The following is a 26,216-nucleotide window of genomic DNA, read 5'->3' as shown; positions in this document are numbered from 1 at the left end:
TGGGGAAGAGGGGAGGAAGCCCCACTCTCCATAATCTATAGCAACTGTCACGGAGCAAACTATTCCCATTTCATACAGACGGGTCAGGTGTCGGCGTGCGATCGATGGCTCGCGCACAATAATTAACGGGAACTAGCAGCTTGTGTTGCTTGAGTGACTTTAAGAAGAGTAGGGTCTCAATCTTCCCTTTAATAGGGCTCTGACAGTCCGCGGCAGCGGCTTCGGTGGTGCTGCGTCTCCAGCTGACAGTGTTGTCATTAAACACCAGGTAGTGTGGAACAACAGAGAGCACGGATCCCACACGGGGGGGACAGGGCGGCTGACAGCGGTCATTTGTCATCACTGAGCTGCCCAAACTCCTCAGACTGCACTGCGGATGGCTGCTTAGGGTGACTTATGGCCCTGTCGGGCTGCCGTTGTGATTTGATAATCCGTAAATGTTTGTCAAAGATGAATCCCCGGATCCCACGGGGCTGCGTCCCAGGGACGCGAGGCCAGGACATGAAAGCTGAGGGGCCATCCTCTCATGTGGCTGGCCACGTGCTGCACCCACCTGGGGAGGTGCTGGGGCCCAGCCTCCCAGGCAGTCCTGGCAGGGCTCCCAGGAGGGGCCGGATGCACCTGCTCCTCCTGTCTCGGGGCTGGGGTCCTCTGCAGTCTCTGTTGTGGGGTGAGCATGTGCATGAGAGTGAGTGTGTGTGTGTATGTGTGTGTGTGTGTGTGTGTGTGTGTGTGTGTGTGTGTGTGATTGCAAAGTTTCCTTTCGCGCTGACGAGGCTTTGAGGCAAGTTTTTCTGCCAATGTGGGATTCTGGCAGGGAGGGCCTAATGGGGGCAGCGAGCAGGTCTCTGCTCTCCACCCTGCGGAGCAGCCTCAGGGCGTGGGGCCAGAGGGTTCGAGGGTGCCCAGGAGGGCCCCAGCGGCCCCGTGGCCCTGCTCCTGGCCACCACCACATACAGGGGCTCCTTCCCTCTGTCTGCAGCGTTTGAGGTCCTGGGAGCCATCACATACAAGAAAAGTGGAGTGATTTATTAGACTCATAAAAATTCATACTTTGTGGTTCCAGTCATCCCACATCTGAGGCTTGTTAGAGTGCGGTCCTGGCAGCTCCTGCCGCGCCAGCGTAGGGGCGGGGCACTCACCAGCCGCCCCCTGCCTCGGTTGCCATTGCGGCTCATTTAGAGAAATGGACGGGCCTGAAGCACACCCAGCCACTCAAGGGGAGGGCCAGCAGGGGCGGAGGGCCCAGCCACGTCAGCAGCACACTCCCTGCACCTGCAGGGCCTGGGCTGGAAGCGGCAGGGCTGGCTAGATGCTAGGGTGCTGAGTGTGGGTAACCCCTGGGGCTGGCTCCAGGTGGGCAGTGAGCCTGTGCCAGCACAGCCAGGGGTCTGCCCACATAGATGGTGGTCCGGGTGCACAGGTAGAGGCGGCCGGTGTGTCCAGTCTCCATCCCTTCCAAAGGCACCTGCGAAGGCTCCTTGGCCCAGCCCCTGCCTGGCCCAGCTGTGCCATCTGTGGGCATCGTGGGCTGGTGTCTTCCTCTAGGCCTTGGCCACATTCCCACCTGTGGGCTGAGGGGCCGAGGTGCCCTCAGCTGATGTGGCTGGCATTGTGGGTTCTGTGTGGTGGCCAGGAGGGGCAGAGGTGCCTTCCTTCTCGTGATGGGGACGTTCTGCCTGAGCTGGCCAGAATCAGGCAGGAGCCCTACCCGAATCTTTCCCTCCAAACAGTGGAGGGGCCTGGGAGGCCCGTTCGTGGGGAGAGCCTGAGCCTCCCGTGGTGCCCACTATGATTCCACTTTTCCGCACAACTGCAGGGTCCCCACAGCCTGCCAGTGCCGTCTGCCGGAAGCTGATGTCACGCATGACTGGCCCGGTTTGTGTGCTCATCAGTACTAATCACTGCAGCCCCTCGCTGCGCCCCAGGGGCCCTGCCGATGACCTGCCTGGCTGGCATGATGGAGGGCCGAGGCGTTGCAGCGGGGGGAGTGCGTATGCGCCACAGGCTGGCTCCATCCTGCCCTGCTCGGTGTCTAGATGAGAAAAGCAGCTGGGAACTGCCCATGTGTGGTCGGGGAAGAGAAAAGCAGAGGCTGGGCTTCCGGATCGGGGAGCGAGGCGGGAGCCCCATGGCAGGCCTGGGCCCCAGGGACTGACCCTCATGTTTCTCGGAACCCAGCAGTAAGGACTGGTGAATCCAGACGGTGGGTGCAAGGCATGGCACGCTCCCTGAGCTCCCAGCATTCACGGGAGGGGTGTGTGTCTGCAGGATGGTGGGGGCACTGGCCGGGCACAGGCCTTGTCCTGCAGGAGCAGACACCCAGGACCACAGCAGATGCGGCGGCCGGGCCTAGCCGCACATGGGCCTGACAGGGAGGGGACTGAGGAGGGCAGAGAGAAGAAACAGACAAAGAACCAAGGAGGCTTTCCTGTCCTGCCTCGGAGAGTGGCCTTGGAGCGTGGCCATGCAGCCCCTCACTGCACCAGGTGTCAGTAGAAACGAGGCTGTTGGTCCTGCAGATGGGTGCCCGCAGGTGAACGTCCAGGCGGTGAGCCCAGCTCCTGGGCTGGGCTGCATTTGAACTGCATGGCCTGGCTCTGCGTGAAACTCGAGGGCCTGAGGGGGCGCGAGAGCAGGGTACAGGTTTGTGGGGTGAGCAACCCGGCCCCGTCCTGGCTGCTAGGGGCGAGAGCCACAGGATCGGGAATGACCATGCACGTGTGCTCACGCCTGTGTGCATGCCCACCGCCCACCGTGTGCATGTCAGTCTCTGCGTGTGCTCCTGAGTGCACTTGTGTGTCCTGGCAGGATCATGTTTGCTGTGTGGTAACACCGAGTGGACGCTGGGAGGCAGGCCCTGGGTGGGCCAATGGCTCCAGGCCAGCTCCACTGTGGATGCTGCAGACACTGGGGAGACCAGGGCCCGAGCCAGGATGGGGCCTGCGGTGGCAGCCCGGGTGGGAGTGGTGGGGACACACGGCCTGAGGCTCCTGGGAGAGAGGGCAGTCTCCTGTGGACCTCACGGTGGCACTTGAGGGCCAGAGACCTCCTGTTTGACCTCACTGCCCCCTGCACATGGTGGACCTCGGGGAAGCCGCTCCTGATGGCCCCTGGGGTCTGCCTACCCCTTCTTGGAGGCCAGAGCCCATGTCACCCCCAGTGTAGCCTTGGCCTCGCCACCTTCAGGACCTAGCGTGTGGAAGTGCCAGGGGTGAGCACCAGGCTACCAAGGTGGCGACTCTGTGTGGCCCCAGGGGACAACTCAGACTGGGCCGACTTCAGAAAGGGGCTGGTGGAGGGGCCCTTGTTGTGCAGCCCTGGCGAGCTACACTGGTCGGGGGCCAAGCTGGATTTCAGCTGCTCCATAGCCCTTCACCTTGGCTGGGCCACCCTGTCCACCCCCACCAGCCTCAGCAAAGGCTGTGAGGAGCTGCCAGGCCCAGGTGCCTTCCAGGAGGTGCCTCGGACTAGGCCTGGCTATGCAGGGAAGGGCATCTGTGCTCACAATGGGCAGAGCCTCCTGTCCCAGGAACAGCGAGAGCTGTTGCCTGAGCTGCCTTCAACGAGAGACAGTTCTGCGGACGCTGCCTCTGACTGGCTGCAGTAGCAGGCGCTGTACCCCAAGCAGGCCCGGGGGTCTGCGCCCCGCTCAGACATATGTCACGGTCTGAAATGCAAGAGCCCAGGGCTCTCGGGAACATGGGCCACATGCTCTGTTGGAGTTTTCATGGCTGTTTCTCCAAGAGCGCCATCAGCCACTGTCAGGGACGCTGCCTGACGGGACTCCTTGTGCCTGAGAGTCTCCAGCGTGGGGCCTGGTGTTGGGTGTGCAGCAGCCTTGGTGGGGGCAGGATCACCTGCGAGCTGCAGGAGAGGAGATGGGGACTCTGGGCTCACCTGCCTTGTCGGCTGGTCTGGAACTTGCCTGCCTCGTTCCCTGGGGCTCCCCCTGCTCCCCTGCCTTTGCCCCTCAGCAGTCTCCTAGCCAAGCTGGGAGGGGTGGGGGTGTGAGGGGCCTTTGAGCTGGACCTGCAGGGAAGGTGGGGCCTGCGCTTGGCAGGTGCTTCCTGAGGGCGGCATGGTCCCAGAGGCTGTGGAGCCAGCTGAGGCCGTGGGTGTGAGCATGGTGCCAGCCATGCAGCAGCACAGGGCGGGTCTGGCCCTGACTCCCAGTGCCCCCAGCTCTCCTCCCACGCCCCCCGCCCCGACTTCCCCACAGCGCCTGGGCACCCCCTGCCCAGGCTGTCCCCGCCTCTTGCAGCCCCGACTCCTCTGGCGCTGGGCCTATGCCCTGCTCTCTCCTCTCTCAGGAACCCCAGGCTCTGCTCCTTCCAGGCAGGCTCGGCTCTCCTGGAGGGGCACTTCCCGGGGTCCTGCCCGCTGCGTGTACCTCCCCGCGCCACTGAGCACTCTCAGTTGTAATCACAGCTCTAATTAGGCGATTAATCGTGGGAACTCTGCTCTGTGGGAGGAGACGTTGCCTCGTCCCTGGCGCCCTCTTGCGGCTGTGGGGCTGAAGGTGCAACCCCCTGAGCTCTGGGGTGGTCAGGCAGTGCCGGAGGAAGAGGCCCAGCCAGTGAGTGGGGCGGGGAGTGTGACTGGAGCTGTGTCCGGGGGCCGGGTGAACTCAGGTTTCTGGGGATGGCACAGGGCCTCCTGCCCTCTCTTTAGGCCGTGTCCTGCTTGCCTGTGGGGCATTCACGGCCGTACTGGAAGGTGCCATCCCCAGTCGGTGCTGCTGCCCGGCCCCTCCTGCCTCGTGCTCAGGGCACCGGGGCCAGAGACCTGGGCTGGCACAGAGTTGGCACCGCCTCAGAAACTGCAAGAGGACTGGAAAGACACAGAAACGGGTCACAGACACCAGGAAAAGTAGGTTTGCAGGCGTGCAAGCTGCCGTTAGTCAGAGAAGGACATAGGCAGTGTGGAGATGGTGAGGTGCCAGGGCAGCTGTTGATAAAAAGCAGATCAGGCAGTGTACAAAGAAGGTGGAATCTTCAGGAATTAGGGATGGGGGGCCTGACTGGCCGGAATGCCCTCAGCCCACAGCCCACAGCCATCCGTCACCCTGGGCAGCGCTGCAGTGGCCCCGGGGGCTGCACCTGGACTAGCCCCTTCCCTGCTCGCTCTCCTTGCATGCAGGGTCTGGGCTGCCCCAGGCCTGTTCTGTGGGTCTGGCCCATCCTGGCCGCTCGCTGCTGTCACTTCTCCCGGGAACATGGTGTGGTGCAAGGTGTCTGTCAGGCAAGTCAACATCATCCCTTCGTGGGCCCCACGCCGTCCTGTCTGCTGCTGTGGGGGTGGCTGTGGCTGATTCCAGCAAATTCCGTGCCAGTCTTGGCCTCCTGCTCAGCTCTCCCCGCTCCCCAGCTGGGATGAAGCCTGCGGAGGCTTGGGGAAGGGGCTTCTAGAACCAGGGTATTTTCTCGGGCTGGCAGCCCAGCAGTGACAGTTTTGCTGTCTTTGCGCTGGGCCCGTCTGCACCAGGGCCCACTCTCGTGCCTGCTATTTCTGGAGGCCCTGGTGCTCCCATCTCTGTAGCCCACTGTGCATAAGGCCCAGGGGCTGGTGGATGCTGGCCTGGGGCACGGTCAGAGGCCTTCTGGGTCTCCACCTCAGTTGATGGGCGAGACCCTCCCTGATGGACCCTCCCATCAGCAGGCTGGGAGCTGGACAGATAGCTGGACAGCTCCCCAGGATACTCACCTTGGCCCTGGTGGGCTGGACAGTGAAGTGGTGGAGCAGCCTTCTCTCCTGCTTGGCAGCCTCAGACAGTTCTTTGCACAGAGTAGTAATTCTAGTTTCATCTTCTTATTCATTAACCAATTGTGAAATTAGCAACTTATTTTCTTCCTAGTTATTTCCCTTTGAAGTTCCATAAAAATCTGAACTCTCCCTCACTCCTGCTCCACATAAAACAGAGCAAGGCTGCGACCCCCATCTGATCAGACCAGCCATCTGTGTTGGAATTGTCCGAGGAGAGTGAGCCGGGTGGGCAGGGCCAGGCTCTGCAGGACTCCTGGACCCCTGATGGCCGGGCCCAGCCTCAGCGGCCGCCCTCCTGATGATGCGTCATTGGGCATGTGGTGCTTGGTACACAGCAGGGCTCTCGAGGTGCCTGAGGGCTGTCCCACCTGGTCCCCGGCCTGAGGGCATGGTGCCGTGTGCAAGAGCTCAAACCCTGCTGATGGATGGGCTCATATCTCATTCACATATGATGCCAGCAGTTTCTTTGTAGTTTGTCTTCCATTGCGGTAGTAAAGTTTTTAATTAGGAAAGCTAATGAGATCGATTAGTCATTAGAAGTGACCTCTTGATGGCGGGCAGAGAGGGCTGCGTGTGTGGGGCTGATAACGCGGGCCGGGGCATCGCCGGCAATAAAGGCGCAAGGGGTTTGATGTGCGCGGAGTGTGCCACGGGAATGCATCACGTGGAGAAAAAAAATTACAGCCCTGGGAGTCTGTAATGAGGGGAATTAAACCAACATCCTATCTAAATAACACGATTATCTACACAAACCCCAGCCAGCCAGGAGGGATGGGCGCCTGGGCCTGTGTCCTCAGGGAGGAGGGCAGAGGCCTGTTTCTGCCTGGGTCCTTCTTGGCTACAGAGCAGCGTCCTGCAGCCTCCCAAGCCTTGCCACCTGCCCACGCCATCGCTGCACACCCTGGGGAACAGGGCCAGGGAGGGACCCTTCCTTCCTGCAGCCTGACTTTCTGGGTCCGTGTGCCATGCATGGTCTTAGGAGCCCTTGCTCCTGCCAGTCGCTGGGTGCCCAGCTCAGAATTCATCTGCTACTACCCATCTGTCCGGCTGTGCCCTGCTCATCCTGGGTTGTCATGAGCTTGTCCGAGCTGCCCATCTGGGAATGACAGGGACTGCCCATGGTCTGCAGGGCCAGGCCGTGGGGGACACGACCCTGCTGTGGGGGTGGGTTGCAGGCTGGAGCCCAGCTTGGGCCCACACTAGCTGCCACCTTGTCACTGTGAGCCCCTTGAAGTGCCCCCAGTCTGGTAGGGACTGTAGGAGAGGGGTCTATCTAGGTGACGTGCAGAATATACCTGCCCAGCCTGAGTGGGCTGTGACAAGAGGCTGGCGCTGCGTTATTACCGTGTGGTTTTCAGGAGTGACACTTGGGCACTAAGAAGTAACACGCAGTAAGGCAAAGAAGCCTGACCTGACCACTGCCAGCACTGCGCAGGAGTGTGATCATGGTGCCGCCGCCCGCCAGGCCCTGCCTGCCCCAAGCTGCCCCTCCTGGGCAGAAGTGTTCTAGAATGCAGAGTCCAGTCCTGTGTGCAGTCGGGGCTGGGAATTCCTAGAGGACTTGGCATGTGCTGGACCTGGGAGGGAGGGCGAGCTCTGGTTCCCAAGGTTAGAAGTGATTTTAGCCGAAGGGAGGCTGTGCATTTGGCGACGGGAATGGAGCTGGGCCAGGTCTGGGGGCTCCTGTACTTAGAATTTGGGGAAAGAGGTTGATGGGGAGGGGAACATGAACCCCCGGGGCCCGAGGGTGGCCCAGTGTCCCGAGTGTGGCCCAGTGTCCCTCCTGCCTTGCTTGGCCCCACCTGGCCTCTGAGCAGGACTGTACCCTAGCTTTGTCATGCTGTGGCTCCAAGGGGCCAGCATCGCCCCAGGCTCTGCGTCCCAGAGCAGCAGGCATTGGGCGGCCTGGGAGGCTTGTGGGAAGCCATGGTGGGAAGCAGGCTGCAGGCTGGCAAGTGGGCCATTTGGGCACTCTGGGGTTGGGGGTGGGCTGGTGGCAGCCCTGAGGCCCGGCCCCATGGCTGGCAGTGCTCCAGTGGGTGCCCTGACTGCCCAGGTGCCAAGGCTGGCCCCCAGCTTGGCCCAGGTGGGGCAGGAGCAGCCGGGCAGCCCATGCTCTCCTCAGGCAGAAGCAAGGAGCCTGCAGCAGGGCTGGAAGGTGGTGAGGTCACCTCGGGGTTATTGATAACTTAAGGACTTCTTACGTTCTCCAGCGCTTAGTTGAAACAAGCTATTATTGATTTTTTTGCTGGTTTCTCCTTGTTTGTAAGACCTTGAAAATACAATCGGCAGACTCTCTGATGTGGACTCTGGGGGACTCTGGGGAAGGCTTTGATGTCATGTTGGGGCCAAGTGTTCCTGACTTGCTCCTGTGCAGGCTGACAGGTGCCTGAGTAGAGGCTGCAGCTTGGATGGTGCTGGGGGAACGCCTGAGGGAGGGGCTCTTTGCTGACATCTGGACAGGGCAGTGTGGGCAGGAGAGTGAGCGAGTCTGTGGAGAGATGGGCTAGAAGCTCGGCCTCAAGGAGGGGCCCTGGCTGCTCAAGGTCCGTTGCGTTTAGGGCTCTGGAAAAGAATTTGGGAAATGGTAACAGTTACTGGTCCTGTCCAAGGAGCAGGGTGCCTCGAGGGCTGTTTGGCTGTGGGGGCCAAGAGGGTGTGTCCTGGGCAGTCAGGGGTCCCGGGCACAGGGGAAGCTGGGCACTGACTGGAAGGAAGTGAGGTCCCCTGGGCTGGGCTGGGTGGGGTCCTCCTGTGGGCGACCCTGAAGGGGGTGGAGGGGGGCGGGGGCCTCTTGCAGCAGCCCCTGAGCCTTGGGCTGCCAGGGAAGCTGTTGGGAAGGCGGGCCTGTGCCCACTGCTGAGTTAGCTTTAATGATCTGGGCAGTCAGAGCTGTACATGATGCAAGCTGGGCAATTAGACGCAACCCTCGAAGCTGTGGGTAAATTGCCAGCTATCAAGTGGAAGGGAACTCGGGCAAAAGATTCCTGTTAATTGCATGAAACATTCAGCAAGAAAAAAGCCGTCGTGTCTATCACCCTGCAAAATGTTATGAAAACAGTGACTAAGTACATAAGTCTGTCTGGGCACAGCGGTGAGGAGGTGCCGCTTGAGGAGGTGAGTGCTCCAGCGCCCCTCCCCTGTGCAGGGCACAGGCCAGGAGCCTCCCAGCCCCGCCCCTCTGGCCTGGGTGGAGGTGGCCCATCTGCCTTCCTCACTGCTCTGCTGGAAGTCAGTCAGCCACCTCGAGTCCCCCTGTTGCGGATACTGTCTAGGGGACTCCAAGGCATCCCCGGCTGCCAGACCCCTGGCTTCTCCTGGTTTTCCTGTGGTGTGGGCATTCCCTTGTTTCTCCAGATGGCTGGAGGGTGTGCGGGGCTGGTGCCCGCCTCTCAGAGGCTGCACTGGCTAGCTCCTGAAGCGTCGGCTGCCAGGCGCCCTGGGGATGTGTGTGCCACATGGGTTGAGGGTTTTATCCACGGGGCGATGGAGGGTCTTCAAGCTCCGGCGGAGGCGGTGGGCAGAGCTGGCACTGTGGGTGGCCTCTCTGACCCTACCCTTGCCGGCCTTCCCTGACCCATGTCTGTGCCCTGGGTTTTCTCTACAGCGTCCAGCCTGCATGCCGTGCGGACTGCACCCACCAGCAAGGTGATCAAGACCCGCTACCGCATTGTCAAGAAGACGCCGGCCTCGCCTCTCAGCGCCCCGCCCTTCCCCCTGTCTCTGCCCTCCTGGCGGGCCCGGCGGCTCTCACTATCCAGGTAGGAAGGCTTCCTGCAGGCTCCTGCAGGCCTGGGAACTGGGCTGTCTGGCCCTGCCCTGAGGGCTGCAGGGTAGAATCCAAGGGCCAGGGGGAGCTGAGCACATCCCAGAACTGCTTGGTGTTGGGCTCGTTGGCTGGGGACCAGCCTGATTTTTCTGTGTCTTTAGCAATTTCTGCACCAAATAGGAGGCCAGCTTGTGTTTACCACATACACGTGAAGACGGACGGACACACATGCACACACATGCTCTGCTGTTCTCAGCAAGCCTATTAGCTGGTGAGGGCTCTGTGCCATGAAAGCTTCTGCTGCCCAGACGGTCAGGGCCCACGCCATGTGCTGTCTGAGCATCTCTCGGGGAGAAGCTTCTGGTGGGAGAGGCTGGGCCTTCAGTGGTCTGTCTGGAAGCTGTCAATGTATGATTGTCAAGGCGGTGATGTGAGCTACTCCTTGCCCTGCTGCTGGCTGCCTGTCCGTGTTCTGGCCCCCACTCGCACTCTGACCTCGATGCAGGCTGGGAGGGCGGCTCTGTCGGCAGGGAACAGCTTTTGCCCTCCTGGGGCCGCTATCCCGGGAGGCTTTGCCACCTGCTCAGTCAAGGTTGCTCAGCCTCTGGGCCTCAGGAGGCCTGGCTCTAGGAGGTTGGCCCCTTCCTTTGCTGTGGTGGTGGTGCCCCATCTCCAGGTTGGGAGAGGGTAATAGCTCTGGCAGGCAGATGGGAAGCAGGCAGTGGCAGACCCCTCCCTCTGTCTTCTGACCCTCCCCGCGGGAATCTGCTCCTGGGGGAGTGGCGTGGGCCAGAGATGGTGGGCAGGGCCTCAGGGCGAGCAGCCACGGCCCAGGGCACGGCCACCCACCGGACCGTAGCTGCCTGGTGGTTCCCTGCTGCTAGCCAGAGGTTTCCAGGCCTGAGGCTAACCCCAGGGGATCCACCCACCAGTATGGACAGCCCTACCCAGCTCTGGAGCCTCGTGGCAGGTCAGCCAGCTGGCGAGCCCACCAGGTGGTGTCCTGCTGCCTCCCGTATCACCAGGCCACACTCAGCTTGGCCCTGCTGCTGAGTTTTCTGGAGGCAATAGCTGGAGTATATTTTAAATTAATTTTACTGCACTTTTTGTAATATTTTTGTTTTAAATAGATTTATAAGCATCTCGGGGGCTATTTCTGCAAATTTATGAAGATAATTTTTATTCTCTCGATAAGGTTAAATTTACACCTGCTATTTCCATATTAATTCACATTGCTAAGTGGATCTAATTTTCTTCCGTTCTTCTATCTGGTGAGCATGGCCTTTCCTAATGCAATTTCCCCCACACTAAATCACTGTGATCGGGAGTCATGATCGAGCTAAATTAACTTAAATTAATTTACTTAATAAGAGCCCCGGATCATCGGGAATGAGGTTCAGATTTATGGATTCTCCGCTCCTGCTTCCCGTCCTGTGGTCGTCGTCAGCCCGACGTCGAGGGTCCACCTCTCCCAGGGGTGCGGCTCGGGGCCAAGTGATGATTTTCCTCAGGGCGGACCCAGCAGGGCCTCTCCTTCTGGATTCTGAAGGCCAAGAAGGCGTCTGGTTTGGGTCCGGCTGGTCTGGTTCCTGTAGCTGGGCCTGCCCAGGAGGGCCCTGATGGTGTTGTTGCACAGAAACAAGTGCCCATGCCCTGGGGCTGAGGAGGCCGGGAGGAGGAGGAGGTGGCAGCCGGCCCAGCGCCCAGGGCCTCCTGTCGGCGCCATGTGGCTGAGAGCAGCGGGTCAGCTGATAGGCTCCCTCCAAGTTCCCTGTCCTTCCAAAGTGAAGCCTGGCCAGCTGCCCTGCAGGGAGCGGCCGTGACTCTCTGAGTGCCCTGGTGTAGGGGCTGCACCACAGGCATGGGTGGGCAGGAGGTGGAGCAGGCATCGCCTTTGATGGATCAAGGGCCCCAGCACCAGAAGCCTGAATTCAGCCCACCCCTGGAGGCCCTGGCTGTGGTTGGTGGCCATGGGCTCCAGGCCTCAGTGTCTTCTCCGTGTGTGAAGGCCAGGCTGAGTCCGCCCCAGGATGCACATGTGGCTGAGGGGGTGTGTGAGGGGCCCTCCTTGCTTTCCTGACCGCCTCACCCCAGTCCTGTTCCACTCCTTGCCAGGCGTCTGGGACCCTTCGGGACACGAACCCTGGGCTTGTGGATAGGGTGTGGGAGTGGAGTGGGGAGGGTGCTGAGCTGAGGGGCACGACTCTTAGGAAGTCCTGGGAAGAATGGCCACCAGTGGGCTGGGCCTGCCTCGCCCAGGGTCACCTGCCACCTGCGTCCCAGCATGGCTGCCTGGCCTGCTGTTGCCTGTTTGCGTGCCTGGGCTCGGGGTTGTTTAGGCAGAAAGGGCGTCTGGGCCAGCGGCTGGTCTAGCCTGGCCCATGCGCCATCTCCGGTGCTGCATCAGAGCCAGGGCTGCCTGCATGTGGCTGGACCCTCAGCCCTCCCTCGGCAGGCCCAGGCCACCATGGACTAAGGGCTGCCATGGAGAGGAAGAAGGCAGGCTGTCCTGCCAGTTGGCTGGCTGGAGCCTGAGACCAGAGCTCTCCTTGGGCCCCAGCTCCCTCTCCCATCCCTGGAGGGGCTGGCGGGCAAGCCCCAGCAGTCCTGGAAGCCACGGTGGTCAGAGTTGGCAGGGGCTGGTGGACACGCGGGAGGGGAGGGAGGCAGGGTGACTAGTGGCTGAGGGACAGCGCCGGTGTGGGATGCCCCAGCCGACCCCTCACTGTGATTGGAGATCTGGTCACCCTGAGAGGAAGTCATCTAGGCCTCTTGCCCTCAGAGCCTTAGCATCTTGCTCTGTTGCTGAAGCAAACCCGCGAGTTCCGAGCATGGAGCCGGGCCTGCTCTCTGTGAAGCTGCCAGCTCCTGGGAGATGGACGAGGCCAACAGCACTGCTCTGGGAGGAGAGGGAGCCGCTGGCAGAGGCTCTGCGAAGGGACGGCAGTGGGGAGTACAGTGAGGCCCAGGGGGCTCTGAGTGTTGAGGGAAGGCCCTGGGGGTCTGTGTGTGAAGGCCAGGCTGACCCTGCCCCAGGATGCACATGAAGGTCCCAGGTGCTGGGAGTGGCTGAGCATCTTGGGTAGGGTGTAGTTGGGGGCAGCGCAGTGCAGCGTGAACCTGACAGCCCGTCCCTGCCTGCTTGTACCATGCGAAATGGGTAGGGTCTCTAGGCTTGATTGTGGTGGGGTGTTCAGGACAGGGCCTGAGCTGGAACCCCAAAGACGGAGGAGGGGGCAGGACCTCTACCACCCGTCCTGAGAGGAATGGGACTGGGCCCTGCCCAAGGTGGGGACAAGAAACAGTAACACAGGCTGCCGCAGTGAAGCTTGCACAGCTCTGCTGCTGACAACAGCCCTCACCTTGTCCTCTCTCTGACCCTGTCCCTGGGACCTCCCCTGCCCTCTTTTCCCGTCCCCTCCCCTTGGCTGTGATGCTCATGGCGGGGACTGCACCGCCCTGAGGAGGCACGAGAAGGGGCCCCTCTCCTGGCCATGAGCCCCCAGGACCCCTCTGCAGTTCCTCTCAGCTTTCGGTTGGAGAGCCCCAGGCCCTGAGCTATTGGCCCTAGCTCTGCCCTGGGCACTGGGGAGGGCTCAGGGTGATTAGGCCTGTTCCCTCCTCTGGGAAGCTCTAGAAACTCCCCTTCCCTGCAGCCCGAGGGAAGGAGGGTAGGCAAGTGAGTGCCCGGCCTGAGTCTAGGCCTCTGCCCTGTCCCAGGGGGTGATTTGGCACACGCGCCCTCTCTCTCCCCCTCCTAATTTAAGTAGAAACTTACTGTCGGCCTGGTGGTCATGTTGGGCCCATGTGGAAGGCTGGAGGACAGCGTCAGGGCCCGTTGATGGCTGGGTTTGTAATAGGGGCTGGGGCCTCTCCTCCCTGTCAGCGGCTTTCTCTGGACCTGAACATGGAGGAGGCGGTGGGGAGCCAGCTGGGTGCTGGAGGAGGTAGGTGGTCGGGAGATGGCTGGGTGCTGGAGGAGGTGGTCGGGGGATGGCTGGGTGCTGGAGGGGATGGTGGTGGAGCCGGCTGGGTGCTGGGGGAGGTGGTGGTGGAGACAGTTGGGTGCTGGAGGAGGTGGTGGTGGAGACAGTTGGGTGCTGGAGGAGGTGGTGGTGGAGCCGGCTGGGTGCTGGGGGAGGTGGTGGTGGAGCCGGCTGGGTGCTGGGGGAGGTGTTGGGGAGATGGCTGGGTGCTGGAGGAGGTGGTCGGGGGATGGCTGGGTGCTGGGGGAGGTGGTCGGGAGATGGCTGGGTGCTGACCAGTGGCCTCAGGTTTGTGGCCGGCCAGTGCTCGTCGTTGTCAGATGGAAGGCAGAGGCTGCTGGGCAGTAGCTTCTGGGGCTTCTGTGTGCTGCCAGCCAGGGTCTCTGAGGATGGGCACACCATTGAGGCACACGCCAGACATCATGTGTGGAGACTGGGGTGGGGCAGAGGGTGGGAGGAGAAAAGGAGCAGTGCCTGTATGCCAAGGGCAGAACGGGACTCCTGCCTCAACGGGTGGCATCCACGGTGCCACCTGTGCTCCCATCAGAGGCCGCGTTGCCCTGGCCTGCAGATGCCCGGCCATGTGGCTGCTTGGGGCGGGGCAACAGCTGACGGGGGCATGCTGGCGGTGTGCTGGCCATGTGCCACCTCTCCCCAGAAGCTGAGGCATGGGACTGGGTTGTTCTGCTGAGCGTGGTGCCCGTCGCATCTGCCAAATACACAGGACGGGGCTGTTGCTCTGGCTCGGGGACCCTGGGAGCTTACTGTACTGCTGCCTTACGCATACCTCGGCCATGCCACAGTGGTCCCTGAGAGCCGGCCTTGGCCAGCCCTCCCCCGGGCCCCAGGACTGCTGCCTTGAAGTGAAGCCTGTCCCAGAGGGCCTGGAATGCAGGGGTGCGAGGCAGAAGGTCAGTGAAGGGTTTTGGAGGAGTCACCCTGAAGGCTGAGGCTCTGCTGAGGGGATTTAATTTTTTTGTTGTTCTGAGATTTGTAGATTTGCCGGTGCCCTCACCAGCTCCAGCAAGTTCATTAATCTGAACTGAAGCTGAAATGTGACTTATATCCCTAACTGCTTGTCACTTTTTTTCTCTTTCCAAATTCATTTGACATGAAAGTGCGAAATAAACAGAAGCTGCTGTGCTTAAGCAGATGAATCGGAGGCTTTTCCATCTGACTACAAATGGTCCTGTCACGAGGCTGCCTCTCACTGGGCTGCCTTATTTTATTTTATTTTAGTTTGTGTCTGTGCGGTAAATCTTAAGTAATCTGTGCAGTTTTGACGAGAGTTAGGCCAGGATTTTGAAGGGCTCTGAAACGCTTCTCCAAAGTGGCGTCTCATTAAAGAGGAATTCAGCCTGGGGACGGGAGGGGTCCTCACTGCGATGCTGCGCTCCCCACGCGTGTCTCCTTAATGAGCAGGTGTGCCTGCACAGCCTCCTGGGACGCCAGCCACCCTGCCCCACCTCCTGCCCGTCTTCTGGTTTGGGCACTGTCTTCGTCGGCTGGGGCCGTGTCACACAGTAGCACAGACTGGGGCTTCAGCATCAGACGCTGACTTCTCACAGTCCTGGGCCGGACGTTTGAGACCAGGTTGCTGGGCAGACTTGGTGTCTGGCAAGGGCCTTCTTCCGGGTTTACAGACAGCTGTCTTCCCACGCATCTTCACATGGCCCAGGGAGAGGCAGGGAGAGCGTGGTGAGTGCGTGTGCACTCTGGGGTCTCTTATGAGGATGCTCGTCCCATCATGAGGGCCCCACCTCAGGACCATTTCACCTCATCACCTCTGAAGGCCCTGCGTCCTCACGCCATCCCGCTGGGGTCAGGGCTTCAGCATCGGGTTTCGAGGGACACAAACATTCAGTCCACAGCAGGGTTCTCGCCATCTTCTGATGTGCCTCAAAGGGTGTGCCAGTCAGAGGACCGTGGGATGAATCCTAACGTAACACCCGCGCCCCGGGGCCGGGCATGATGGCTCACACCTGTAGTCAGAGGACCATGGGATCCCAACGTCACACCAGCGCCCCGGGGCCGGGCATGATGGCTCACACCTGTAGTCAGAGGACCGTGGGATGAATCTTTATGTAAAACCAGCGCCCCGTGGCCAGGCATGATGGCTCACACCTGTGATCAGAGGAACTTGGGATGAATCCTTATGTAAAACCAGCGCCCCGTGGCCAGGCATGATGGCTCACACCCGTGATCAGAGGAACTTGGGATGAATCCTTATGTAAAACCAGCACCCTGTGGCCAGGCGTGGTGGCTCACACTCATAATCCCAGCACTTTGGGAGGCCGAGGCAGGTGGACCGCTTGAGCTCTGGAGTTCAAGACCAGCTCGGGCAACATGGTGAGACCCCATGTCTACAAAAAGTACTAAAATTAGCTGGGTGTGATGGCTTGTGCCTGTGGGTTCAACTACTTGGGAGACTGAGGAGGCAGGAGGATCACTTGAACCCAGGAGGTTGAGGCCGCAGTGAGCCATGATCATGCCACTGTACTCCAGTCTGGGCGACAGATCAAGACCCTGTCTCAAAAACAAAAATGAAAAACCCCAGCACTCCATCATGGCCCAACTCTGGGTGCCCTGGTGTTGAATGTCTCCTCCAAAACTTATGTTGACATCTAACAGACATGGCCGGGTGCAGTGGCTCACCCCTGTAATCCCAGAACTTTGGGAGGCCGAGATAGGCGGATCACTTGAGGTCAGGAGTACAAGACCAGCCTGGCCAACATGGTGAAACCCCGTCTCTACTTAAAAAAAAAAAAAAAAAAGGTCGGGCATGGTAGCAGGCACTTGTAATCTCAGTTACTTGGGAGGCTGAGGCCGGAGAACCGCTTGAACCCAGATGCAGAGGTTGCAGTGAGCGAAGATGGCGCCACTGCACTCCAGCCTGGGCAACAGAGTGAGATAGTCTCAAAAAAAAAAAAAAATAGACATTGTGACGTGACGGTGTGGGGAGGTGGGGTCTGTGAGAGGTGATTGGCTGTGAGGCTTCCACCCCTGTGGATGGGTCAGTGCTGTGTGGTGGGAGGGGCCCCTGATCAGAAAGGCAGGGTGTGGCATGATTGCCTCTCAATCTCAGGCACCTGCTTGCCTTCTGCCATAAGAAAACCCTCACCTGGTGCCGGCACCATGCTCTTGGATCTCTCAGCCTCCAGAACTGTGGGCCAAAGACACTTGTTTTCTGTATAAATGACGCAGGCTGTGGTATTCTGTTATAGCAGCAGAAAATGGACTTAGACTCCAGGGCTTGCTCTGCATCTGGTGAGAGCCAGAGACGCCCTGCCCGCCTCATCCTGGCAGTGTGCAGATGCTCTGCTCAGCCAGCCCCAGGCCCGGGACCCTGTTACAGGCTGGCATGGGGAGGTCCTAGACACCAAAGGGGTGTCAGTGTGTAGCGTCAGTTGTTGAGTGCCCGGCACTGGATGGGTGGGGCTCCCCCCACCCACAGATACCTGGGCAGCAGGCAGCTCCAGAGTTTGAGCAGGCAGGCTCTGCCCACTGTGCTGTCCTTCTGTGGGGAGCGGTCAGGAAGCAAGCAGACAACAGAAGCAGATAGTTCTGTGGGTGGCTGCTGCCGGATGTGCTGAGGCCCACCCAGGATGGATCTGTGTGGGGCTCAGAGAAGGCCCCTTTGAGGGCAGGGGCCTGTGGGGGGTTGAGAGGCCAGCATGGCCATACCACGAAGGGTTTGGAGTGTTTGCAGAGAGGATAGGGGCTGGGGGGTGGTGTCGAAGGTGGGATTTGCAGCCCGGCCGCTGCTCTGGTGGGGGGCCAGGGGTTATCAGGGCAGGGCCAGCCCCCGGTGAGGAGCAGGCCAGCTGAGAGGCGGCACTGCTGCGGGCCTCCTGGGCTGTGAGGGCCGGTGTGGCTCCAGGGCACGTTTCCAGGGTGTTTACTGCCTCCCTGCTACCTCCCCTCTGACATGGAGCCTGGGGAGCTTGGGCCTTTGCCAAGAGTGCTGAAGCCCTGTGTCTGCCCGTGTCTAGCTTGGCCCGGTCCCCAGGGCCTCCGTGGAGGGTGGAGGTATCCTGTCTGTATCCTTGCTGCCCGGTGCTGGCTCTACTGTGAGCAGCTCACACAAAGAGCCTGGAGAGGCCCTGAATGCTGGAGAGGGCATTCAAGGGCGGCCCTGAATGCTGTGAAAATGCTGAAGAATGATAGCATTGTCGCTTCTGGTTTTGGTTAATGGAGTTGCTGAGTTTCGACTGATTTTGTTAAAAGCAAGTGTTGGTTTCGTGGGAGGAGAGATGCACCCACTGTGTTTGCACTGAACACCGGCTGGGCGCAGGTCTAGGTGCCCACTCAGGACAGAGGGGCAAGACCCAGGGCCAGAGCACAGAGGGGGCGGGGAGCCCTGGGGCCTGGCTGCTGGGCGGGAGGGGCTGGGAGCCCTTGCCACTGCCTTCCCGGCTCCCACCATGCTCTGGCCCTGGGTGTTGATGCCCTGCATGGCATCCTCAACCTCCAGGCCCCCTCATCCCTCTGTCCAGAGAACCCAGGACATGCGGTTCTCTTCGTCCTGGGCTTCCCTGACGGCCAGGAGTGAGCCTCTGCTCCCAGGCCCTTCCCTCTGCTCCCAGGCTTCCCTCACAGCCAGGAGCCTCTGCTGAGTCCTTCAGTGTTTGCAACCTTGGGCTTGGCAGTGGTCCTGGCCAGCAAAGGGCCCAGAAATGCGGCTTGCGTGGTTTCGGCAGCTCTCCGCCCCTTCTTGGGGGAGGCTCACGTTGGTGGCTTGCATTTGAGCCATGGCTCTGCCTCTGCCCCTGCCCGCCCTGTGCCCCTCTTCCCCGCCCTGTACCCCCTGCACTGCCCTGTGCCCCTCTGCCCCGTCCTGTGCCCCTCCGCCCCGCCCTGTGCCCCTCCGCCCCGCCCTGTACCCCCTGCCCTGCCCTGTACCCCTCTGCCCCGCCCTGTGCCCCTCTGCCCCGCCCTGTGCCCCTCCGCCCCGCCCTGTACCCCCTGCCCTGCCCTGTGCCCCTCCGCCCCGCCCTGTACCCCTCCGCCCCGCCCTGTGCCCCTCCGCCCCGCCCTGTACCCCTCTGCCCCCGGTTCCCATCCCCCTTGGGCTGCTTGGTCCACACAGCAGTGTGGGGGCCAGTAGGCCCAAGGTGGTGAGTGGGCAGAACACGGGGTGACCCCCTTCAGCCGGGGAGGACAGGGCTGCATGGGGCAGGAGGCTGGTTGGGAGCACTGCTGCCTACTTGTATGTCCTAGCACAGCTCTGGGGGCATCCTGGAGCCACCACAGCCTCCACGGCCCTTCCTCGCCTCCGTGGCAGGACAGCAGGCTGGCCAGGCAAGATGACCGGTGAGCGGGCCACACTCAGAGGCTGTGGACTCAGGTCAGGGGGTCTGGGTGCAAGTGACCCTAAGTACCGGGATCTCCTGATTCCCCCCGAGCCAGAAGGGCAGGAAGGCTCAGCCCTGCAGGTTCTGGGAGAACGCGGCCTGACAGGGCTTCACATAGAGGGGTGGTGCTTTGGGTTGTGATTTTTAACTGGGTAGGAGCCTTGAGTCTATGGGGTTTTGTGGCTGCTGCCACTCAGGCTGAGGTCTGGCTTCTTGACCTTCTTTCCAGGGTCCCCCAGGCAGGTGGCTGTAGCAGGCTGCGTGACACAGCCCCTGCCCCGGGCCCCGGTGCGTGGCCCAGGCAGTTCCTGCCGTTCTCCTTGGCTCCTTCACTTGCATTCGCTCACCCGGTGTGTGTTGAGGGCCTGATCTCTGTCTGGCCCTGCCTGCATGGAAGCTATGGCCCCGTGGGGACTTAGGGACAGGCTTTTTGGGGCCTCTTCGTGCTGTGGTGCCTGCCAGGCAGAGAGGGGACTCTCTTGGGGAAGGAAGCAGCTGGCACAGCACCGGGGAGCCCCAGAAAGCCCTGTGGGAGGCACAGCGTGTTCGAGTGCAGAGACCTGGCCAGGCCTCGAGCTGCTGGCGGCCCAGATAACACACGTGAGACCCGGAGACCACTGAGGGGACCTGGACTTGGCCGTACCAGACAGCCATGTAGCGACGGCCCTGGTTCAGCTCCTGCTGTGGGGCTGCTGGCCGGCAGGTGTGACATCTGTGTTCAGGCTTGCCCTGGCCCCTGGCTGCCCAGGGCCCTCCTGACCGCAGCATTGCGTCTGTGCTCTGCCTACTCCAGGACTCCACTGAGACCTTGGCCTACCGGTGGGTGCAGTCAGCACCAAAAGACCACAGCTGCCAGGATGGGACAGGGGCAGGCGGTGCTGGTCCTGGGCTGTTGCCTGTCGGAGGTGGTACTGCTCTGTGGCTCATGGCCCATGTGGACCCCAGGCTGCCCCCCTGGCTTTATGGCTGCACCTTCGGGGGCAGCTTCCTGCTGCTGCCCACCCAGCTGCAGGGATGAGGTGGCTGTGACTGGTGGCGGGGTTGGGGGGGATTGGGAAGGCGGTGCTGCTTGATGGACAGGTGGATGCAGAAGCCTTGGGGCAGGCCTGGGTGCCGAGTCTCCCTGTCCTGGCTGTTCTGGGAACCCCTGGGAGGGAGGAGAATAGTTGTGTGGCTCCTGGGCTCTCTCCTCTTTCCTCTCCTAACTAGCTTCTTGCGTTTAATTTTTTGGGATAACTTTTTGTTTTGATATACTTTTACAGAAGTTGCAAAAATACCACCCAGGACTTCCTTACTGAAACTCACCAGTTGTTTATATGATATTTTATCGCATTTGCAGTATTGCTTTCTCTCCCTTTATAAACGAGCTTTTGCACAGAAGCGGAGCCCTGGTGCCCCCGGAGCCTGGTGCTTTGGGGTGTCTCTGTGACCATGCACAGTTCTCCAGTGCAGGAAGGGCTGGGAGTCTGGACAAGAGAGGCCAGCTATTTTGTGCACTGTCCTTCCACTGGGCTTATCTGATGTCTTTTTGTGATGAGATGCAGATTCGCAATTTTGGCGGGAAAGCCATGGCAGCACTGGTGTGGCCTCAGGCTGCCTGGTGCAGCAGTGTTGGCCTGACCGCTGGGTTTAGGCCATCCGGCAGTTTCTCTGCGGAGCAGGTTACTTTGGGCAATTGTTGGGGAAAAGTGTGAGGACTGAGGGAGCATCCTGTTTCTTACCGGACTTCTGTCCACTCATTCTAGATGTTGGGATAACTTTCCCACCCCTCCTTCCATGCTGTGAGTGGTGGCTTTCCCTGTCGCCTTTGCCCTGCGTCGTTGTTGATTTGCTTTAACGGCGTGGACCCAGGAGTCTTACTCCACTTGATAGGCTGTAATCTGCTCTGTTATTCTGGTTCTCAGGTGGTCCCAGCCTTGGCTGGTGGAAGCCGCTTGAGGCTGGCCTGCGTCCCTTTGATGTGTCCTCTCATTCCTGGGCACGTCATCACGTTCTGCACGGCAGGTGCTCCAGGCTCACCGTGGAGTCAGCTGTTTCTCTGCAGAACCCCGGCTCCTTGGGGGGCAGTGGCTCTCGGCCCTCCATGGCCAAGAATCATGCAGCCACAGGTGTCAGTGGTGCTAAGGTCTTGGCCTGGGGGCACACGCTGCTGCCCTCTTGAGTCAGAACAAGGGCGTTGAGTGTCTGCTCCCACTCCCATGCACACCCGCACCCTGACAGCACAAGTTCCACTCCATCTCTGCTGGTTTACTCAGCCTGCCCTCATTCCGTGTTCCTGACTCTTCTCCAGCCACGAGACACCTGCCCCATCACCCTCAGTCTGTCTGCTCATTTGCTCAGGCCTAGCACACAAGTTCCAGTAGTATTAACAGATACCACGGAGCAAAGCAGGGCCACTAACTAGAGGTCCACATGTGTTCATAGTTCTTTTCTAGGTAGAATTTACGTATAGTGGGAGGCATAAATCTAACAGTCTGTGAGTTCTAACAAATGAATCACCAGGCGCAGTGGCTTGCACCTGTAATCACAGCACGTTGGGAGGCTGAGACAGGAGGATAGCTGAGCCTGCGAGTTCAAGACCAGCTCGGGCAACATAGTGAGACGTCTGTCTCTACAGTTAAAAAAAAAAAAAAAAGAAAGAAAAGAAAAATTAGCCAGGCATGGTGGCATGCACCTGTACCCCAGCTACTCAGGAGGCTGAGTCAGGAGGATCGCTTGAGCCCAGGAGGTCGAGGTTACAATGAGCCCTGACTGACACTGCACTCCAGCCTGGGTGAAAAAGTGAGACTCTGTCTCAAAAACAACAACAGAAACCCCAAAACGCATGCACCTGCGCAACGCATACCTCGTCGAGATAAAGAACGTTGCCATTGCCCTTCTCTGTCCTCTTCCCGGTAGAGGCCTCCATCCCCAGAGGCAGCCCCAGCTCTGAGTCTCTCACTGTGGATTAGCTGCCTGTTCTGGAGCATCCTGTGGCTCTGAGTCTGTCACTGTGGATTAGCTGCCTGCTCTGGAGCATCCTGTGCCTCTAAGTCTCACTGTGGATTAGCTGCCTGCTCTGGAGCTTCTGTCAATGGAGTCAGATGTTCTCGCATTGCTTCCAGCTTGGCTCACTCACTTGGCATCTGATTCAGGCTCGTGTCATTGCTGGCTTCACAGTGCATTTCCCATCCTTGCCAGGGAGCCTTCCTTTCTTGTTCCGCACTTTATTAATTTTACTTGAGTCACTTGCAGTTTGGGGTGACTGTGAGTAGAGCCTGCTGAGTCCTTGTGCAGCTCTTTCTGTGCACCTGTGTTTCCATGACTGTCGCGCGTGGGATCGCTGGGACGTAAGACATCTGCTGACTTGATGTGACATCACCAAACTGCTTTCCAGCGTGCCGCGACCCTTTCTGTTCCCCTCAGACGTGGTGTTACCGCCTTTCTAATCTGCATTCTCACGTGTGTGGCCTCTCACTGTGGTTTTCATTTGCGTTTCCCTGGTGTCCAGTGATGTTGAGTACCTGCTCGGGCTAACGTAAGGCCACTGGTGGTCTTCCCGTGTGAAAGGTCTGCTCAGGCCGTTTGCCCGTTGGTGGCCGGTATTCTGGCTCCTCATTCTTGACTGCAGGAGGCCCCCTTCCCCACCTTGCTGAGCCAGCCTTACCTGGTGGAATGAGGCCTTTGTTCCTGCCCAGGGTCTCAGGGTGAGTGTGGGGGCTCCTGGCCCTCTGGGGGCTGTGTTCCTGTGCTCCCATCCCCTCGTGTGTCTGCCCACAGCACCCCCCTCCCCCGACCTGCCGCTTCCCTCCTGTCCCGGCCGGCCCTCCTTCCCGGCTGGCCCTCGCTCTGGGTTCTGCCGGCGCCGCTGTGCTCTGAGGCCCTGACCTGCCCGGGCCTTGTGTGGGCCTGTTGGCAGGGGTGGCCACAGGCTCCTGCACTGTGGGGTGAGGTCCTGTGCTCACCCCTCGGGGGTCATCTGCCGGAGCCCCATCCTCCACGCTGGCAGGCATTTGTGCTTTTCCCACCCAGAGCCTGGGGCCTGCTCAGAGGGAGGGCTGGCGGGCTGCCACCGGTCCCGTAGCCTGAGCTGCTCACTCACGCTCTCTGAGATACTCTGTCATTTGAGAAAACTGGTAAAGAAATCAAAGCAGGAAGTTCGGCCTGAGGGTGGCAGGAAGTCTCTGTTGAAGCTGGGTCCAGGGCGCTCTGGGCCTCTGTGTGGGGTGTGGGTGGGCACCAGGCGTGGTCAGCCTGTGGGGTCTTGGGGCCCATCCTGGCCCTGGGGAGGCCTGTGGGGATGGCCCTCAGCGCTCCCCTTCCCCTCCCACTCCCCAGGCTTCCCCACGTGCTGCTGAGGCAGGACTCCGGCAGGTTTTTTAGAGTTTTATTTTATGGGAACAGGCGGTTACGGCTCCCCAAGTGCTGTAAAAGTTAATGTGATGGCCTCCCTGTGCCTGTGCTCATTTTTATAATTTTTTATTTTATGAAACAGGACAGGGAGCTTAGTGACTTATTACTATTCATTTCGTTTCAATGCAGTAAATATTGATTCAGTTGGGGGTTTTCAATTTAAACCACTCGGCGATTATATAAAATATTACTGGCCTCTGAAATTATGCTTACCGATCCCTTCGGCTGCTCATTAAGGAAGGAGTGCAATTTTTAGATCCCTTTTGCCTTCATCATTCTAATAAATGGGCTGAGATACGGTTTTGCACGGAAGGTGCCACAGAAGCTGCTAGCAGGGGCTTGACAGCATGGATGCAACTCTTAATTTGGAAGTTGTTTCAAAGTGTGCTGTGGTTATTTATTTATTTCTCTGTTTGTTTGAGGCAGGCAGGCCTTTCGGCTTTGTGAGTGGAGTCCTTGGCAGTGCCCATGGCAGCAGGGCTGAGCTGGCATCCCCCCGAGCCTGCATACCTTCCACCTTCTCCAGGTGTGGCCGAGGGCCAGACCCCTCCTGCAGCCTCGGCCTTGGTGGTTTGGGGTAGGGAAGAGGGAGGAGAAGCCAGTCTTGCCAGGGCCTGAGCTAGCCCGCATCCACACCGAGGCTGGGATGTCCCTGAGGGACACCGCTGATCCTCTGGGACTTTTTCCGGACAAAGGGAGAGGGACTTTTTCCTGGAGATCTTAGACCCCAGCCCTTGCTGGCAGGCAGGGCAGATCTGGGCCAGGACACAGGACCCTGAGGAGGGAGCCCCTGGGCCAGGACACGGGACCCTGAGGAGGGAGCCCCTGGGCCAGGACACGGGACCCTGAGGAGGGAGCCCCTGGGCCAGGACACGGGAGCCTGAGGAGGGAGCCCCTGGGCCAGGACACGGGAGCCTGAGGAGTGAGCCCCTGGGCCAGGACACGGGACCCTGAGGAGGGAGCCCCTGGGCCAGGACACGGGAGCCTGAGGAGGGAGCCCCTGGGCCAGGACACGGGAGCCTGAGGAGGGAGCCCCTGGGCCAGGACACGGGAGCCTGAGGAGGGAGCCCCTGGGCCAGGACACGGGAGCCTGAGGAGGGAGCCCCTGGGCCAGGACACGGGAGCCTGAGGAGGGAGCCCCTGGGCCAGGACACGGGACCCTGAGGAGGGAGCCCCTGGGCCAGGACACGGGACCCTGAGGAGGGAGCCCCTGGGCCAGGACACGGGACCCTGAGGAGGGAGCCCCTGGGCCAGGACACGGGAGCCTGAGGAGGGAGCCCCTGGGCCAGGACACGGGACCCTGAGGAGGGAGCCCCTGGGCCAGGGCGCCTTCTTCCTTTGCTGTTCTGATCAGCAGGATGTGCGTGTGGTCAGGTGCCCACGCAGGTGTGGGTGCGAGGTGAGGCCCTCCCCGGGCCCCTCCGGCATCAGTCCCTGGGGAGCTGAGCATCAAGCTGGCAGTGGCTCTGGGTCCAGGTCTGTTTGCTGGCTCCGTTCCTGACGCTACAGGTGGGCAGCTCTTGGCAGGCAGTTCAGGATGGTCCTGTGGTCAGTGCTGCAGAGGTTCAGGGCCAGTGTGTCCTGGACTGAGGGTCCAGATGGTGGGGGATATAAGGCGGGCCAGGGCCCTGGGAGTGGCCTGATGCTGAGGCCCTGGTGGGAGGAGGGAGGTGGCCGCCACCGGATCCCCCCCACTGGGCCAGTCCGTGGTGTGTATCCCCTGACTGTGGTGTTTTCAGTGGGTGGCCGGTGAGGAGGGGGCGCCTGGAGGCCTCCAAGGCCAGCACACTCCTCCCCCCGAGGCTTTGCCGCCCGACCTGGGCCTGCTGGTCCCTGCATCTCTGTGCCTCTTAGGCCTCCACCCTTTGGTCCCATGCAACGTCTGTCTTTTCCTTCTTGTTTCTCCTCTCCATTCCCTCTCGGCACGCATGTGTCCGGCTCTCTGTAGTGTGCCCTCTTTCTGCTTTCACTCCTTCTCTGCCCTCCTCCCCAGGGATACGAGCCACGCTTAGGTGCTGCGCCTGGTGCACCAGGTGGAGGCAACATGCCTGTGGGGTGGGCTGCTAGAAACACGGTGGCTGAGGGCTTCCTAGCAAAGAGGGAGGCCAAAAGGAGTAGGTGCTGTGAGTGGTCCAAGCCAGGCCCAGGGCCGAGGGTGTCCTGTGCCTGCAGGACTGAGGGAGTCATGCCCTGTTCTGCTCCTTCTCTAGGGCCCACCCTGCACCCGGCCCCACAGCCCTGCACGGCCTCTGCCTCCCCTGCCCCTGAGGGCAGCTCTGCTCAGTCCACCCCATCCCTGCTGTGAGAGCATGGCCTGCTGGGCGACGGTGGCAGAGGGACCCGTGAGTCCAGGACAGGGGGGTCCTCTCTGTACCACTGTGACCAATGCATGGCTCCAGGCTGGGCTGGCCTGAGGAGCTGGTGATGGGGCATGTGCCCCGAGCCGGGTGTGGCACACTGCGTCTCCAGCCGTGGGGCTCAAGATGCTGCTTTGCCCTTTTGGGCTGGCTCCTGTGGGGTCATACGGGTGTGAGCCTCGCCCAGGCCCGGCTGTGAATGGCTGTCCCTGTCCCTGTTATGGGCAAGCCCTTGGGACAGGATGCAGGAGCTCCCTGGTGAGATGCTGCTGCCACCTTGGCGGAACCGCAGGCCACAGCGTGGTTCCGTGTGGGCCGGCAGTGGCATCGCAGGGACAGGCTGCAGGGAGTGTCTGGTGACAAATCTGGAGGGAGCCTTCCTTCAGTTTGCACAAGGACCTTCGGGGAGGGAGCTCAAGGGCCCCCCGGGGGTTCCTGTGGGATCCGTGGAATTCCCCTCAGGCCGGGGAGGGCGGAGCCCCCTGTGCCTGGGCCCTCCTGCCCCATCTGCCCAGCCGTGGATATGTGTGTGTCTGCCAGTTGGTGCCTGGGCTCCCTGGAGGGAGGGGCAAGCATGGACATTCCTGGAAAC

At 60.7% G+C, this 26,216-nt stretch overlaps 1 protein-coding gene and 1 non-coding gene across 5 annotated transcripts in view, besides 2 other annotated features; both read left to right on the top strand.

Moving 5' to 3' along the window:
* Window positions 1-26,216, top strand: part of ZC3H3 (zinc finger CCCH-type containing 3) — a 103,789-nt gene that overhangs the window by 24,175 nt on the left and 53,398 nt on the right. For 3 of the 4 annotated variants that reach the window (NM_015117.3, XM_011516943.3, XM_011516944.3), the window contains exon 4: window positions 9,374-9,527. In NM_015117.3, the coding sequence (NP_055932.2) occupies window positions 9,374-9,527 (154 nt within the window). Of the gene's footprint in view, window positions 1-9,373; window positions 9,528-26,216 lie in introns of those variants that run through there. The other variant, XR_928313.4, reaches the window with a different exon arrangement.
* Window positions 1,478-1,672: a silencer, noted in NCBI's record as "fragment chr8:144597771-144597965 (GRCh37/hg19 assembly coordinates)". NCBI's record gives its function as "represses an EF-1alpha promoter that drives an FKBP-Casp9 reporter gene in an ReSE screen in phorbol 12-myristate 13-acetate-treated (for megakaryocytic differentiation) K562 erythroleukemia cells {active_cell/tissue: K562(+PMA)}" and the evidence as "EXISTENCE:reporter gene assay evidence [ECO:0000049][PMID:32094911]".
* On the top strand, window positions 11,025-11,088 carry SNORD149 (small nucleolar RNA, C/D box 149). Its single transcript, NR_145785.1, has one exon. It is a non-coding gene; the product is annotated as a small nucleolar RNA, C/D box 149 (small nucleolar RNA).
* Window positions 15,321-15,821: an enhancer, noted in NCBI's record as "H3K4me1 hESC enhancer chr8:144583622-144584122 (GRCh37/hg19 assembly coordinates)". NCBI's record gives its function as "activates a minimal SCP1, AML or CMV promoter by ChIP-STARR-seq in naive H9 embryonic stem cells {active_cell/tissue: H9 hESC(naive)}" and the evidence as "EXISTENCE:reporter gene assay evidence [ECO:0000049][PMID:30033119]".

This window comes from Homo sapiens, chromosome 8 (assembly GCF_000001405.40).
Source record: "Homo sapiens chromosome 8, GRCh38.p14 Primary Assembly".
Taxonomy (NCBI): Eukaryota; Metazoa; Chordata; class Mammalia; order Primates; family Hominidae; genus Homo; species Homo sapiens.
Note: the sequence above shows the minus strand (reverse complement) of the source record. Positions and strands in the feature narration are given on the sequence as shown.